Source organism: Homo sapiens, chromosome 21, assembly GCF_000001405.40.
Source record: "Homo sapiens chromosome 21, GRCh38.p14 Primary Assembly".
Taxonomy (NCBI): Eukaryota; Metazoa; Chordata; class Mammalia; order Primates; family Hominidae; genus Homo; species Homo sapiens.
The window spans coordinates 13,607,702-13,621,568 of NC_000021.9; the positions used below are offsets into that span (position 1 = coordinate 13,607,702).

Below are 13,867 nucleotides of genomic sequence, written 5' to 3' on the forward strand. Positions count from 1 at the left end.
CAAAACAAATATAAGAAAGAATATAATAGGGATAAGAGCAGAAATAAATGAAACAGCCAAAAGAAAACAACAAAGAAAAGCAAAGAAATAAAGCTGGTTCTTTGAAAATATCTATAAAATTGACAAACCTTAACTAATAATGATAAAGAAAAAAGGGATGTCATAAATTACCAATTTCATGAATGAAATGGGCTATCCTTACAGACCTTGAAGACATGAAAATGATAAAGGAATGTCATGAACAACTCCACTCACATACATTTGACAACTTGGGGAAAATGGGCCAATTTCATGAAAAGCAGAAACCACCACAAAACTCACCCAATCTAAAATAGGTAATTTAATAGCCCTAAAATGTAAGGACATTTAATTTCTAATTTTAAAGACTCCTGAAGGAGAAATCTCCAGGACAAAATGGTTTTACTAAAGAATTTTATGTACTGCTTAAAGAATTGACACCAATACACACAATCTTTTCTGAAAATAGAGAATCTTTCCCAATTCATTTTATGAAGCTAACATTACTCTGATATCAAAATAGTACAAAAAAGTAAACTATAGCCTGGTAATTCTCTTGAACATGGATACACCAGTTCTTAACAACATTAGCAGTAGCACTCAGCGATGTACACAAAGAATTACACATCATGTCCCAGTGACGTTTACTCCAGTGACTGCACACCTAGACATTCATCCCACTGAAATAAAAACTTTTTTTTTGCACTTGTAATTGGCTTCCCCTCTGCTTTTGTTGGCAAGAGCAGGTCGGTGTCCCAGGCTTAGAATCCATTTTTCTCTCTTTCTCTCCATCTGTCTCTCTGTCTCCGTCTCTGTCTTTGTCTCTCCCTCTCTCTCTCTTTTTTTGACAGAGCCTTGCTTTGTCGCCCAGGTTGCAGTGATGCGATCTCGGCTCACTGCAAGCTCCGCCTCCCGGGTTCACGCCATTCTCCTGCCTCCCGAGTAGCTGGGACTACAGGCGCCCACCACCATGCCCGCTAGTATTTTGTATTTTTAGTAGAGATGAGGTTTCACCGTGTTAGCCAGGATGGTCTTTATCTCCTGACCTTATGATCCGCCCGCCTCAGCCTCCCAAAGTGCTGGGATTACAGGCGTGAGCCACAGTGCCCGGCCAGAATGCATTTTTCCTCCCACACCAAAGCACCTGCAGTATGGGTGAAGCAGCCTGGAGCCTGGCTGCATAAGCCTGCACAGCAGGAGGGTCCCAGCAGGAGGGTCGAGGTGCCACTGCCTGGGTCCAGCTCACAGGCTACCAGGGAGGCTCCGATCTGGCTCCCTGGTGCTGGCAGTGTACTGTTCCCAGGATCTGCATGTGGGGGTGCCTTCCTGCATCTCCCCATCAGTGGTAGGTGCTCCTCCCAGCCGCCTCTTTCAGGCCTGGAGACAGCGGCCTGCACCTCAACCCTACTGCATGCCAGTGAAGCGAAGCACCCCGGGCCAGAAGCCCCACAGCTGTTGGCCCTGGTTTGGACACCAGGCAGGGGGCACCACAGCAGGAGCTAGCAGCCCAGCCCCGATTCTGTGGCCCCGAGTGCCCCGTTGCTGATGGCCCTGTGTTCTGGGCACGGACCAAGGAGGAGCAGGTGTGGAAGGCGCCTCACGCAGGCCCTGGGCTCCGTGGGCGTCTTGTGCTCGGAGATTTTGAGGCCATTTGCATCCAGCTTCGCCAACCAGAGCTCTAAGCTGCAGCGGCGGCCACCCGCAACAGCACCACCACTAGTGTCTTGGGGGCTTTCTTCAGAGGAGGCTGTCAGCATCCTCGAGTTCCAGGCGCTCTAGCCCCAGTCCTGCTTCAAGAGGCTTTTTCCCACCACAGGCTTCTCCTCAGTGGCCAGAAAGCTGGGTCAACTCCCATGAACTTTGCCAGTAACGCAAGGCTGTCACTGACATTTGTGGCGCCAAGACTTGCGCACGCGGATTGCACACATCGGCCACTTCCTGCACCACGTGCAATGACGCGCGCACGCCTCACGCGCACGCCGCATAACGTCTGAGGCGCGCACGCCTCACGCGCGCCCCGCACGCGCGCCCGCCTCACGCGCGCCCCGCACGCACATGACGGCTTGGCTTACCTGTAATGGGTGCGCTTCGCTTTGCGTTCCTCGCTTGGCCTTGCGTTCCTAGCTTGGCTTGGCGTTAGTCGCTTTGCCTGGTGTTTCTTGCTTGGATTGGCGTTTTCTCCCTCGCATTCCTTTGCTGGGCCTGAATTTTTCTCTGCTGGGTTTGGCATTCCCTTGACTGGGCTGGGTGTTTCCTTCGGAGGGGGGGCTTGGCCTTTCCTGGGGTGGGCCTGGGGTCCCCCTGGTGGGCGTGGGCTTTCCCCGGGTGGGTGTGGGTTTTCCCTGGGTGGGGTGGGCTGGGCTCCCTTGCTGGGGTTGGCAAGTTTTGGCTGGGATTGACCTTTCTCTTCAAACAGATTGGAAACCCAAGGTTTCCTGCTAGTTGGTGAAACTGGTTGGTAGACGCGATCTGTTCGCTACTACCGGCCTCCCCTGGCTGTTAAAAGCAGATGGTGGCTGAGGTTTGTTCAATGCCCACTGCCTCTACTGTGAAGAAGCCATTTGATCTCAGGAGCAAGATGGGCAAGTGGTGCCACCACCGCTTCCCCTGCTGCAGGGGGAGCGGCAAGAGCAACATGGGCACTTCTGGAGACCACGACGACTCCTTTATGAAGATGCTCAGGAGCAAGATGGGCAAGTGTTGCCGCCACTGCTTCCCCTGCTGCAGGGGGAGCGGCACGAGCAACGTGGGCACTTCTGGAGACCATGAAAACTCCTTTATGAAGATGCTCAGGAGCAAGATGGGCAAGTGGTGCTGTCACTGCTTCCCCTGCTGCAGGGGGAGCGGCAAGAGCAACGTGGGCGCTTGGGGAGACTACGACCACAGCGCCTTCATGGAGCCGAGGTACCACATCCGTCGAGAAGATCTGGACAAGCTCCACAGAGCTGCCTGGTGGGGTAAAGTCCCCAGAAAGGATCTCATCGTCATGCTCAGGGACACTGACATGAACAAGAGGGACAAGGAAAAGAGGTAACCGGGCCTGGGATGGGAGGAGGCAGGACATGGGGGGATGATGGGGACATACCCTCCTGGCGCAGGGAGGGAGGAGCCAGGCTTTCTCTTCCTCCGCAGGCCCCACACCACCCTGGGTGTGGAAACCTCAGAGAGGTCAGGGCCCAGGTCCCTTTATAAACAGCGACACAAAAAGTTTTAGCTGATTTCCAATCCAATTACAATTTCCCTTATAGAACACTAATAGACTGTTTTAAAGTGATTTAACTCGCAAAATTAAGTCGATGCAGCAGATTATTTTTAATGTACACATTTTAAAACAATGTTCTGTACACTATAGAAAGGTGTATATTGAGAACTAAGTCCCATAATATATCAACTTCTGGGCTAAATATCTTTCAAATAAAATCCAATATGGATTTTATATCGATGTACCCCTATGTAAATACGTTCTTTACTGAGTAACCTTAAAAGGAAACTGAAATGGGAAGTATGGTTCATATCTTTGAATAGGAAGGTTCGTTTTTCTTAAGATGTGAGCTTTTTCTGTGTTTATCACTTTTACATAAGCCAAATAAAAATAGCAAAGTCTTAGTGTCTTTAAATTGCACATGATGTATTTTATCATTGTGATAAATTGATTTTTTTTAACAGAATGGAAAAAGACTTGCTTTTCCAGATATCAAAATGTGCATGTGTTATTTCCACAAATTGTTTACTAACAGCTGAAAAGATATAAATGAACAGAACAGAATAGGAAATCCAGAAATACCCAAATATATGTAAGAATTTAGCACTTGATAATGGTGATGTTTCATATTGGTAAAACAAGGTGAATTATTCATAAATTAAATGCATGCTGCTTGGAGAAAACTACCTAGATTTTTATGTCACAAAAATAAGTTCCTGGAGTATAGATTAAAAATTTTAAAGATACAAAAGGAGAAAAGTACCAGAAGAAAACACAAATGCCTATTTATATGTGAAAATATTTATTTATTTTTCTGAGACAGACTCTCACTCCATAGCCCAGGCTGGAGTGCAGTGGTGCAATATCAGCTCACTACAACCTCTGGTTCCTGGTTCAAGTAATTCTCTGCCTCAGCCTACCAAGTAGCTGGGATTACAGGCACCCACCACCATGCCTGGCTAATTTTTTGTGTTCTTAATCAAGACGGGATTTCACCATCTTTGCCAGGCTGGTCTTGAACTCCTGTCCTTGTGATCCACCCACCTCAGCCTCCCAAAGTGCTGAGATTACAGTCATGAGCCACTGAAACCGGCATATATATGCAGATATAATAAAATAAGCTCAATTTAAAATTGGGCAAGGTACTTTTTTGCATGTCTACCAGTGACCTGTGCACATAGGAAAACAGCATTCCTGCTAAGAGAAGGAATTTAAGTTAGAAGAGGAATGAAAGACTATTTTCTGTTTAAGTTAGAAGAGGAATGAAAGGCCAGCCATGGTGGCTCATGCCTGTAATCCCAGCACTTTGGGAGGCCAAGGCAAGTGGATCACGAGGTCAGGAGTTTGATACTAGCCTGGCCAGCATGGTGAAACCCGTTTCTACTAAAAATACAAAGAATTAGCTGGGCATGGTGGCATGCACCTGTAATCCTAGCTACTCAGGAGGCTGAGGCAGGAGAATTGCTTGAACCAGGGAGACGGAGGTTGCAGTGAGCTGAGATTGCACCACTACACTCCAGCTGGGTGATGGAGTGAGACTCCATCTCAAAAAAATAAATAAATAAAAATAAATAAATAAATATAAAGGAATGAAATACTGTTTTCTGTCCACAAAGTTTGTGAGGGTGAAGAACAGTGGTACTTATATACTTGCTGAAAGTTTAAGTTGCTGCGACTTTTCAAATAGACACTTTGATGGTAAGAACCATATTTTTAAAATGTGTATGCCTTTTACCCATCTATTCCATTATACTGAAATATCTATATGAAACAGACACAGCTGTTTTTCTTAGTATTGCTTAAAATAGCCATGTATTGAGAAGAACTCATATAAAGATGTTATAAACAAATTTCAGTGCATCCATAGGATGGAATAATATGTAACCATTGAGGGTGTCAGTAGATACAGAGATATGTCGGCATGCAAAGATGTACTTTGCTATATCAAGTGAGAAAAAATCAGTTTGTTATACATATACACAAACAGAATCTGCTCTTGTGTTAGCTGGAAATATGTGGAAAATATAATCAAACTTATTTCTGGGGATTTGTAAGTGAAGTTTTTCCCTTTCTCTTATCTGTGATTTCTGCAATGAACATCTGAAAAGTTTTAGTTAAGTTTCATTAGTAATGAAATAATCCTTGGGAAGAGAAGGAATATGCTACTTGCATAGATACAAATAATTTCTCACATTCTGTTATTTATTTTTATACCTGTGGATGGCTATCTTCTGTGAACTTTTACCCTCTTCAGAAGTAGAGGGCTTCTGTTTACCTCTTCTGGTAGATTTTATTGTATATACATTTTATTATATATAGATTAATGTGTAAATAGTATGGATTAATTATTTTAGTTTAGTTATATATTTATGAAAACTAAAATAGCAAATATAAATGATCGTTACTATCGCAAATGTATTGCTCTACTCAACAGGAGTTTTCTTTTAAAAATATTGAACTTCCAACCTATGTTTATCCATTCTTTCAATCCGTTTAGTCATCAAACATAAGCCAGACACCTATTATATGGCAGGCATATTCTGCTATCTCTCAGGATCCTTCCACCTTTGAAAACTTCATGTTTACCTGCTGCGCCTGAGCAAGCTGAGAGAATCAAAATTGGGGCATTAGGACTTAATCTCAATTGAAGCTTTTCCTCCCTCCTTTCAAACAAAAGCATTTCTGAAGGTGACAAATAGTAAAAGATAACCCTTAACTGCCCTTTTGAAAATTTATAAGGCTTGGGTAAAGACTGTTTTAGCTGTTTTAAGAACTTAAATGTGGTACATAAACAGCATGGAATACTATGTAGCCATAAAAGAAAGAACAAGAGCCTGTCCTTTGCAGGGACATGGATGGTGTTGAAGGCCATTATCCTTAACAAACTAACATAGGAAGAGAAAACCAAATACTGCATGGTCTCTCTTATAGGTGGGAGCTAAATGAGGAGAACACACAGACACCTAGAGGGAAGCAACACACACTGGGGCCTATCAGAGGGTGGAGGGTGGGAGGAAGGAAAGAAGCAGGAAATAGAACTAACGGGTACTAGGCTTAACACCTGGGTAATGAAATAATCTGTACAACCAACCCCCTTGGCACACGTTTACCTATGTTAACCAACCTGCACATCCTGCACCTGTATCCCCGAATGTAAAAGTTGAGAAAAGCTCCACAAATAGTTTCATAAATCCATTTTAAAAAGAGAAAATTTATAACAGTCTTAAATCCTAATATGAATGATTGGAAATATCTGATGTACATACATTGTATAAATCTAAGTATTGAAAAAAATGAGCCCATGCTATTCATTTGAATTTCAAGTTTTCTTTGGCTTAAAGTTTTTGAAAACCAAAGTAAGAAATAGATTATTTTAGAAAATTGTTTTTGTTTTCACCTCAGCCCTCTTATTCCATAGTTCTTTTAAAAACTAAAATTTATCTAAATGCTAGTCATCTGACTGGAACTGCCCCAGACCTGTTATATTATAACATATTCTACTTAGTATAAGGCACCAGGGATTGTATGATGCCCCATTATTTTATGTCTCACTAAGAAAATTATTTAAATGCTGCCAATTATAATTATAGTAAATCATGAATTATAAGTGGTATTTCAGTGTAAGAAATGTTAAAACATGGAGACAATGATCATCTTAGACTCAATAAAATACAGTACAACGCTACCTGTAATCTTTAAAATGTACCTGAAAGTGTAGGTATAATTGTATCGTTTCACTTAATTCAAATGTTGTCTTTAGTGGTATTAGTAAAAATTATAATATCTTACAATTTTTGAGCTGTTATTTGTGTTAGGAACTATTCTATATTTTGTGTAGAGTCTTATTTAAGCATTACAGTGGTTTCCTCTGAGAAACTGACTATTTTCATTCCCATTTTATTGATGAGGAAATTGAGACACAAAAAGGCTAAGCAACAGCTAGGAAGTGACAGAGCTTCAAGTAGGATTCCAGCCCAAGTTGAATGTCATCCAAGAGCTATGCTCTTTCTATTCAAATAGGCTGCTCTTTCATTAATACAGTGAGTAATGAGAGGTAATAAGTAGTGTGCTTTCTTCAAAGGAAAATTGAGTTTGTTTTGAAGGCAGAGTAATAGGCTATTCAGTGTTTGCAACTACATGAATCATTAATGTGGCATTAGCTAGTGAACTACAATTTCCTCAAGTCTTCTCACTCTCATAGGACTGCTCTACATTTGGCCTCTGCCAATGGAAATTCAGAAGTAGTACAACTCCTGCTGGACAGACGATGTCAACTTAATGTCCTTGACAACAAAAAAAGGACAGCTCTGATAAAGGTATGCAGTAGTCAACTATATCAGCGTGAGATGGGTTTGATTTCAATAGATAGCATAAAAATGAGTTTTCTCATTTAAATATAACTAGTTGGTGAAAGCTGTGGAATGTTATTTTGAATTCCTAGGACTTGTAATTTGTTTTTGGTCTAATACTGACAGGCCATACAATGCCAGGAAGATGAATGTGTGTTAATGTTGCTGGAACATGGCGCTGATCGAAATATTCCAGATGAGTATGGAAATACCGCTCTACACTATGCTATCTACAATGAAGATAAATTAATGGCCAAAGCACTGCTCTTATATGGTGCTGATATTGAATCAAAAAACAAGGTATAGATCTACCAATTTTATCTTCAAAATACTGAAATGCATTCGTGTTAACATTGACCTGTGTAAGGGCCAGTTTTCCGTATTTGGAAGCTCAAGCATAACCTGAATGAAAATATTTTGAAATGACTTAATTATCTAAGACTTTATTTTAAATATTGTTACTTTTAAAGAAGCATTAGAGGGTACAGATTTTTCAGTGCACTTGTGGTTAGTGCTTTTTTTAAAAAAACACTGAATTTGTAAAAGGTAATACTTTTTTTTTTTTCAATTTTTCCCTGCCAAGTTTTTTTTCCCTAATGAATGTAAAATGACAAAATTTGCCCTGGAAATAGGTTTTACATTAAAACTCCAAGAAAACTTAAACATGTTTCAGTGAATAGTAATCCTGCTACTTTGGCAAATTCCTAAAAAAACACTAATAGATATGAGGTGATGTATCTCTCAGTGGCAAGGCTTAAGATATTTCTGATTGCTCATGAGGCAGAAGTGGAAAGGGAAAAATGCAGCAATCAGAAATATCAAGGCCAACTTGGAAATTAGGTAATGGGGGAAAAGACCATGAAGAGGTTGTGTGTGTGTGTGTGTGTGTGTGTGTGTGTGTTGTTACTGTTGTTCATTCATTTGTTTCCTTTATATGGTGAGACAGGGTTCTTTTCCATTTTAGAGAATGACAGTTTTCAGTTTGGGAGAGGGAGTTAGTGGGTTGTAAACTGCCTAGAGATAAATTTTAGGAGGCCTCTGAGGAACCAGATTGGCAGTGAATATGTGGTAATGTATTGGGAACCCTTGAGTAGAAGGAATAACAAGTAATTAACCAACTTAGTATCCTATTCTGGTAGAAATGGCCAATTAGAGTCTCAACTCTGCTTTCAATTCTAGAATGTCTTGATGGGAAGGTGGGAGATAAGGGGCTTATAAGTAAAAAGATCAGGTTGGATTTTGAGTTTACTAGACCTTGTTCTACTCTTACCGGGGAAAATTTTGTGGTGTTTTCAGCAAATGAATCTCTCTCCTACTCTTTCCTCTTTTTGACCAAATCCTCAAATGATAAAGGGAATTGTTTATGTGGATGAGAGATGAGACTGAAATAATTGTCTATTGCACTAGCTTCCAGCTAGAGTTGTGCATTCCAGTTACCTCAGGAAAATTTTTAAATAATCTTCAAGTCTAGGTTTTCCCCTGAAGATTTTGATAGAGTAAGTCTAATAAAGCCGGGATATGTATGTTTAAAAATGTTTCCTTGAAGCCAGGCATGGTGGTGCATGGCTGTAGTCCCAGCTGCTAGGGAGGCTGAGGTGGGAGGATTGCTTGAGCTTAGGAGTTCTAGTCTAGCCTGGTCAACATAATGAGACCCTGTCTCTAACAACAACAACAACAAATTTCTCAAAATCCGGATACACTCCTGCTTAACCACTGAATACATAAGTGTAATATGTAAATTCTTATATCTCAGAAACTTCAGATATTTCTAGAAGAGTTGGAGTTGGATATGTGCTAATTCCTTTAAATCTTTCCTTTCCAATAACATTAATCTAAATTTTTGTTTGTTTGTTTTTGAGATGGGGTCTCACTCTGTTCCCCAGGCTGGAGTGCAGTGGTGCGGTCACAGATCACCACAGCCTTGACGTCCCTAAGCTCTGGTGGTCCTCCAATCTGTTTTTGTATTTTTTTTTTAAGTAGAGATGAGGTTTTTGCCGTGTTTCTCAGGCTGATCTTGAACTCCTGGGCTCAAGTGAATCACCCACCTCAGGCTCCCAAAATGCTAAGATTACAGGTGTGAGCCACCATTCTTGGCCTAGTCTGACTTATCTCTGTCGTTGAGACATTAAAATGAATATTATTGGCACTATCTATCAGCTTACAGAATAATAGCTTTTCCTTTCTACCATCAGTTATTCACTGCCATTCAGAAGGTCTTTAGAAATTTGCAGTGAGTAGTCTTCCAATAAGTAGAGGATGGCTCTCTCAGGACTTTGTGTCCCTTTGTTCACTCATTCAAGTGCTTAGGTCAGTAAGTCGTTTTTAAGAGCAGAGTTTTCTCAGAATTGTAGCAAATTCTAAACCTTTTTTGTCAATTGAAGCTGTATTATGGGCTATCCAGTATGTCTCTTAAGTTTGTAGAGCTTTGGCTTAATCAGGATGGCAGGTTTAAACACTAAAAACCATGGAGTTATTAAGAATACAGATAGGAAATCTCTTAGTTTCAGTAATCCTATGAACTGATTATCTATCTAGTTAACAATCTGGAAAAATTAAATACAAATAGATTTTAAATGAATAAATGTTGGAAAAATTCTTGAAATGGGCAGTGTATTAATAGCAATATTTATTGCACGTTGGAGCTTGAACTTTGGTAAAACATGTGAAACTAAAGAAATATTTTACATTCAAATTCTTGCTTTATACACAACAATTTTGTCTTAGGGTTGGATAATATAGAGATAAAAGATACAGCCCCTGCCCTCAAGAAGCTTTTTGTTTAAATGAAAAGAAAAATCATCCAAAAGTGCCATGCCAAATGCTCGTTTAGAAACAAAGAGTCTTGGAAACAGTAAATGTTTAAGGTGAGTTTTTGAGATGATCAGATTTAATGTGGTGAGGCAGAGAAGGGATGTTTCCAAGGGAAGGAGTGGCATGTGGGAAAGTACAGAAGAGTGAGAAGGAAGCGACCAAGTTTTATTTACTTTCTGTGAGTGTAAGTCCATAAGCTTCCAGTTCAGTTGAGAAATACATAATTTTTTGAATTACATATTGTTTTTGTTTTATATTGTTTTACAGTGTGGCCTCACACCACTTTTGCTTGGCGTACATGAACAAAAACAGCAAGTGGTGAAATTTTTAATCAAGAAAAAAGCTAATTTAAATGTACTTGATAGATATGGAAGGTATGGTTATTTCTTTTAATTTGTGTGTTGTTCTAGATTGATAGCAGTCACTCAAGTCATAAATAATAAATTAAAAAGATTAAATTATACTTATTGGGACATAGTGATCAGTATCAACACAAATCAGTTAAGTAGAAAAGCAATTATTTGGACTGGGCAACATAAAGAACTGTTTTAGTAGGATTCATCATCTCTTATTATATTGACTGATGTTATTTGTTGTATGATGTTTTTGGTTACATGATCTTATGTTAGCTAAAGGGATTTCATATTAATTTTATGAAGTTTGAACTTTAACTTTCAGTTTACTTTATGACTCAGTATTGAACTTCTTAACCCTTTCTAGTAGGTTTTAACCTCTGTATCTTATATGCTTTTCCACTAAATATGCTGTATTAAACATAAATAGGAGTTGAAAATCCTTTTATCTTTTCAATGACTCTGCTTTAAGTTGCTTTCTTTGAAGAATATTAATGTTAGCTTATCCCCACATGACAATTAATTGCTATTCCCACATACTGTGGGTTCAACAGCTTTTTTCCTTTTTTATTTCCAGTGTATTTTGATGTTTTTATTTTTAGTTGGTATGGAGAGAGGGAGTGAAGATAGTTTTAAGTGGATACACTTTTCCTTTAATGAAGGCAAGCTGTAGGTGGGTGATAAAGAGAAAAGATGAAATTGGAAATCATCATTCTCAGTAAACTATCGCAAGAACAAAAAACCAAACACCGCATATTCTCACTCATAGGTGGGAATTGAACAATGCAATCACATGGACACAAGAAGGGGAATATCACACTCTGGGGACTGTGGTGGGGTGGGGGGAGGGGGGAGGGATAGCTTTGGGAGATATACCTAATGCTAGATGACGAGTTAGTGGGTGCAGCGCACCAGCATGGCACATGTATACATATGTAACTAACCTGCACAATGTGCACATGTACCCTAAAACTTAAAGTATAATAAAAAATAAAAATAAAAAACAAAACAAAAACAAAACAAAAACTAGCTGGGCATGGAAAAAAAAAAGAGAAAAGAGCTAGGCTTTGGATTCACACAAGACTGGGTTTAATTCCTAACTTTCTTACTTGCTACGCGTGTGACATTGGGAACGTTATTTACCACCCAATATGTTGTCATATGTGAAAAGTAGGAGAATATATCCTTCAAAGTTGGCTGTGCATAAGCAAGAAAGATATATGTGGCATTTAATTCAGTGCGTAGCACATGCTTATTGGCAGCATTAACTGAAACTCCTGTGACTACTATTCTTACCATTATTATTAATATTACTGCTTTCAGCATGCAGAGAGCTCTTATTTTTCTTACCCCCTAGCTAATTTTCTATTACAGCATATCAGTTTAGGGAAGCTGTGACAAAATCTTCACTTAAATCTTTGTCCACTTCAGATAAGTGGCCCTAGCATTGTTTCTTGCCCATCAAAGGACTTTAAATTAGTAGCTTCTGCTATGCAATACCCCACTGAGATAAGAGGTTTCCTTTTTGTCCTTTCCTTTTAACCTTGGTGGTATTTTACAAAGATGAACTCTTGAGCACCCAAGATGCTTCTGTCTTTTAGTGCATGTAAATGTTTGATTCTGCATGGACAGGCAAGATGTTAAATTGGTAAAGTATATCAAATTAGCTTTTAAAATAACTTTATTACAGTTCCTAAAGGAGAAATTATCTCTGTAATTTTAGAACTGCCCTCATACTTGCTGTATGTTGTGGATCAGCAAGTATAGTCAATCTTCTACTTGAGCAAAATGTTGATGTATCTTCTCAAGATCTATCTGGACAGACGGCCAGAGAGTATGCTGTTTCTAGTCATCATCATGTGTAAGTGTTTACATGAAAAGGCTAGTTAATGCTAAATTGAGGTTTAAAATAATTATAACAATTGCATCTTACATATCAGGTGAGATGTCATAGTTTGGTTCAGGTAGTTTTAGATTGGCCGTGAGTTAGTCCCCTGCATCAGCCAGAAATCAGACAAAAAGCAAGACAAGTTAGAAGTACCAATGGGTGCAGGATTCTTTACCTCAGGACTTTTAAGACCTTTATCCTTAGAGATCCCAATATTGTTCATTTCATCCAAGTATAACACCTATGCATGGGATAAAAAAGAGTATCACATCTTTGATTTTTCTGATTAGTTATTTGGGTCTTGAAATGTCCAGTTTAGCAGAAAGTCTTGTACTGTCTTCTGGGGACTATCTTCTACATACTCCTTGAATTTTTCAAGAACCAAAGGGGTTCACTAAATCCAAGGAAGACAGTCCCTTTTATCAAGTCAGAAGGAGGAGAAAAAAAAGGACATTCCAATCATTCTGTTGTTTCCATTGTTTCTGTTGCTGCATTGTTGCCACTCAAACTGGTTCTGCTGCCTGGTAATTGTTGACCTTTGACACCAAGATGCCCTTACTGATTCAGATCCCTCAAGTCTTCATGGGGATTCATACAGTGACTTTGAAGTTACAACATTTTTTTTTAGTTCCCTTACCTATGCTTATATGCTCAGCCATTGTTCCCAAAGCACCAGCACCCTGCTCTGGCCGCTGGGCATCCTGACTTTATCCGCACACAAAGTGAGCAAATTGACCCTTCCTCCTGTATTCAGAACCTAATGTGGAACCCACATCTTAGCCAAGAATTAGCTGAGACCTTCATGGTAAGAGATCCTTTGAGGCCGTTGTTGGTCTTTTCTCTAGCAGATATTAGGTGGGCTTGTTCTAAAGGGTCAGAGGGGTTCAAATAATGTGGCAGAAAGAGATCAGTGTTTGTTTCTTCTTCTTTGCTACCAGATCTATACTGTGAGGCACCTTTATATCCTGTGTAGAACCTTAGGCAGTAGAAAGTCCCATATGAGCCTTCCCCAAGCAGTGGCTCCCAGCTGTGGTTGGCCCCTTGAGTGATCTGATTTACATGATAATGAAAATCGTCCAAGCTACTTCCATCTCTAGCTCAAGATTTTAAAATATTATCAAATTGTACCTCACAGGAAGCCATTGAAGAGAATTCTCAGAATCTCAAGTAGGTTAAGTAAGTAGTGATGAGTCACGGACAAGAGCCAAGCCTTGTCCATGACTCGTCACAAATCATGTGTAAAAGT

The 13,867-nt window shown here is 39.9% G+C and overlaps 1 protein-coding gene across 3 annotated transcripts in view; it reads left to right on the plus strand.

Moving 5' to 3' along the window:
* The first annotated feature begins 2,075 nt into the window (after positions 1–2,075).
* POTED (POTE ankyrin domain family member D) overlaps positions 2,076–13,867 on the plus strand; it is a 36,047-nt gene continuing 24,255 nt past the window's right edge. For all 3 annotated transcript variants that reach the window (NM_174981.6, XM_006723997.4, XM_011529550.3), the window contains exons 1-5: positions 2,076–3,048; positions 7,422–7,536; positions 7,696–7,869; positions 10,648–10,754; positions 12,457–12,594. In NM_174981.6, the coding sequence (NP_778146.2) occupies positions 2,528–3,048; positions 7,422–7,536; positions 7,696–7,869; positions 10,648–10,754; positions 12,457–12,594 (1,055 nt within the window). In that variant the 5' untranslated portion in view covers positions 2,076–2,527. The remainder of the gene's footprint in view (positions 3,049–7,421; positions 7,537–7,695; positions 7,870–10,647; positions 10,755–12,456; positions 12,595–13,867) is intronic.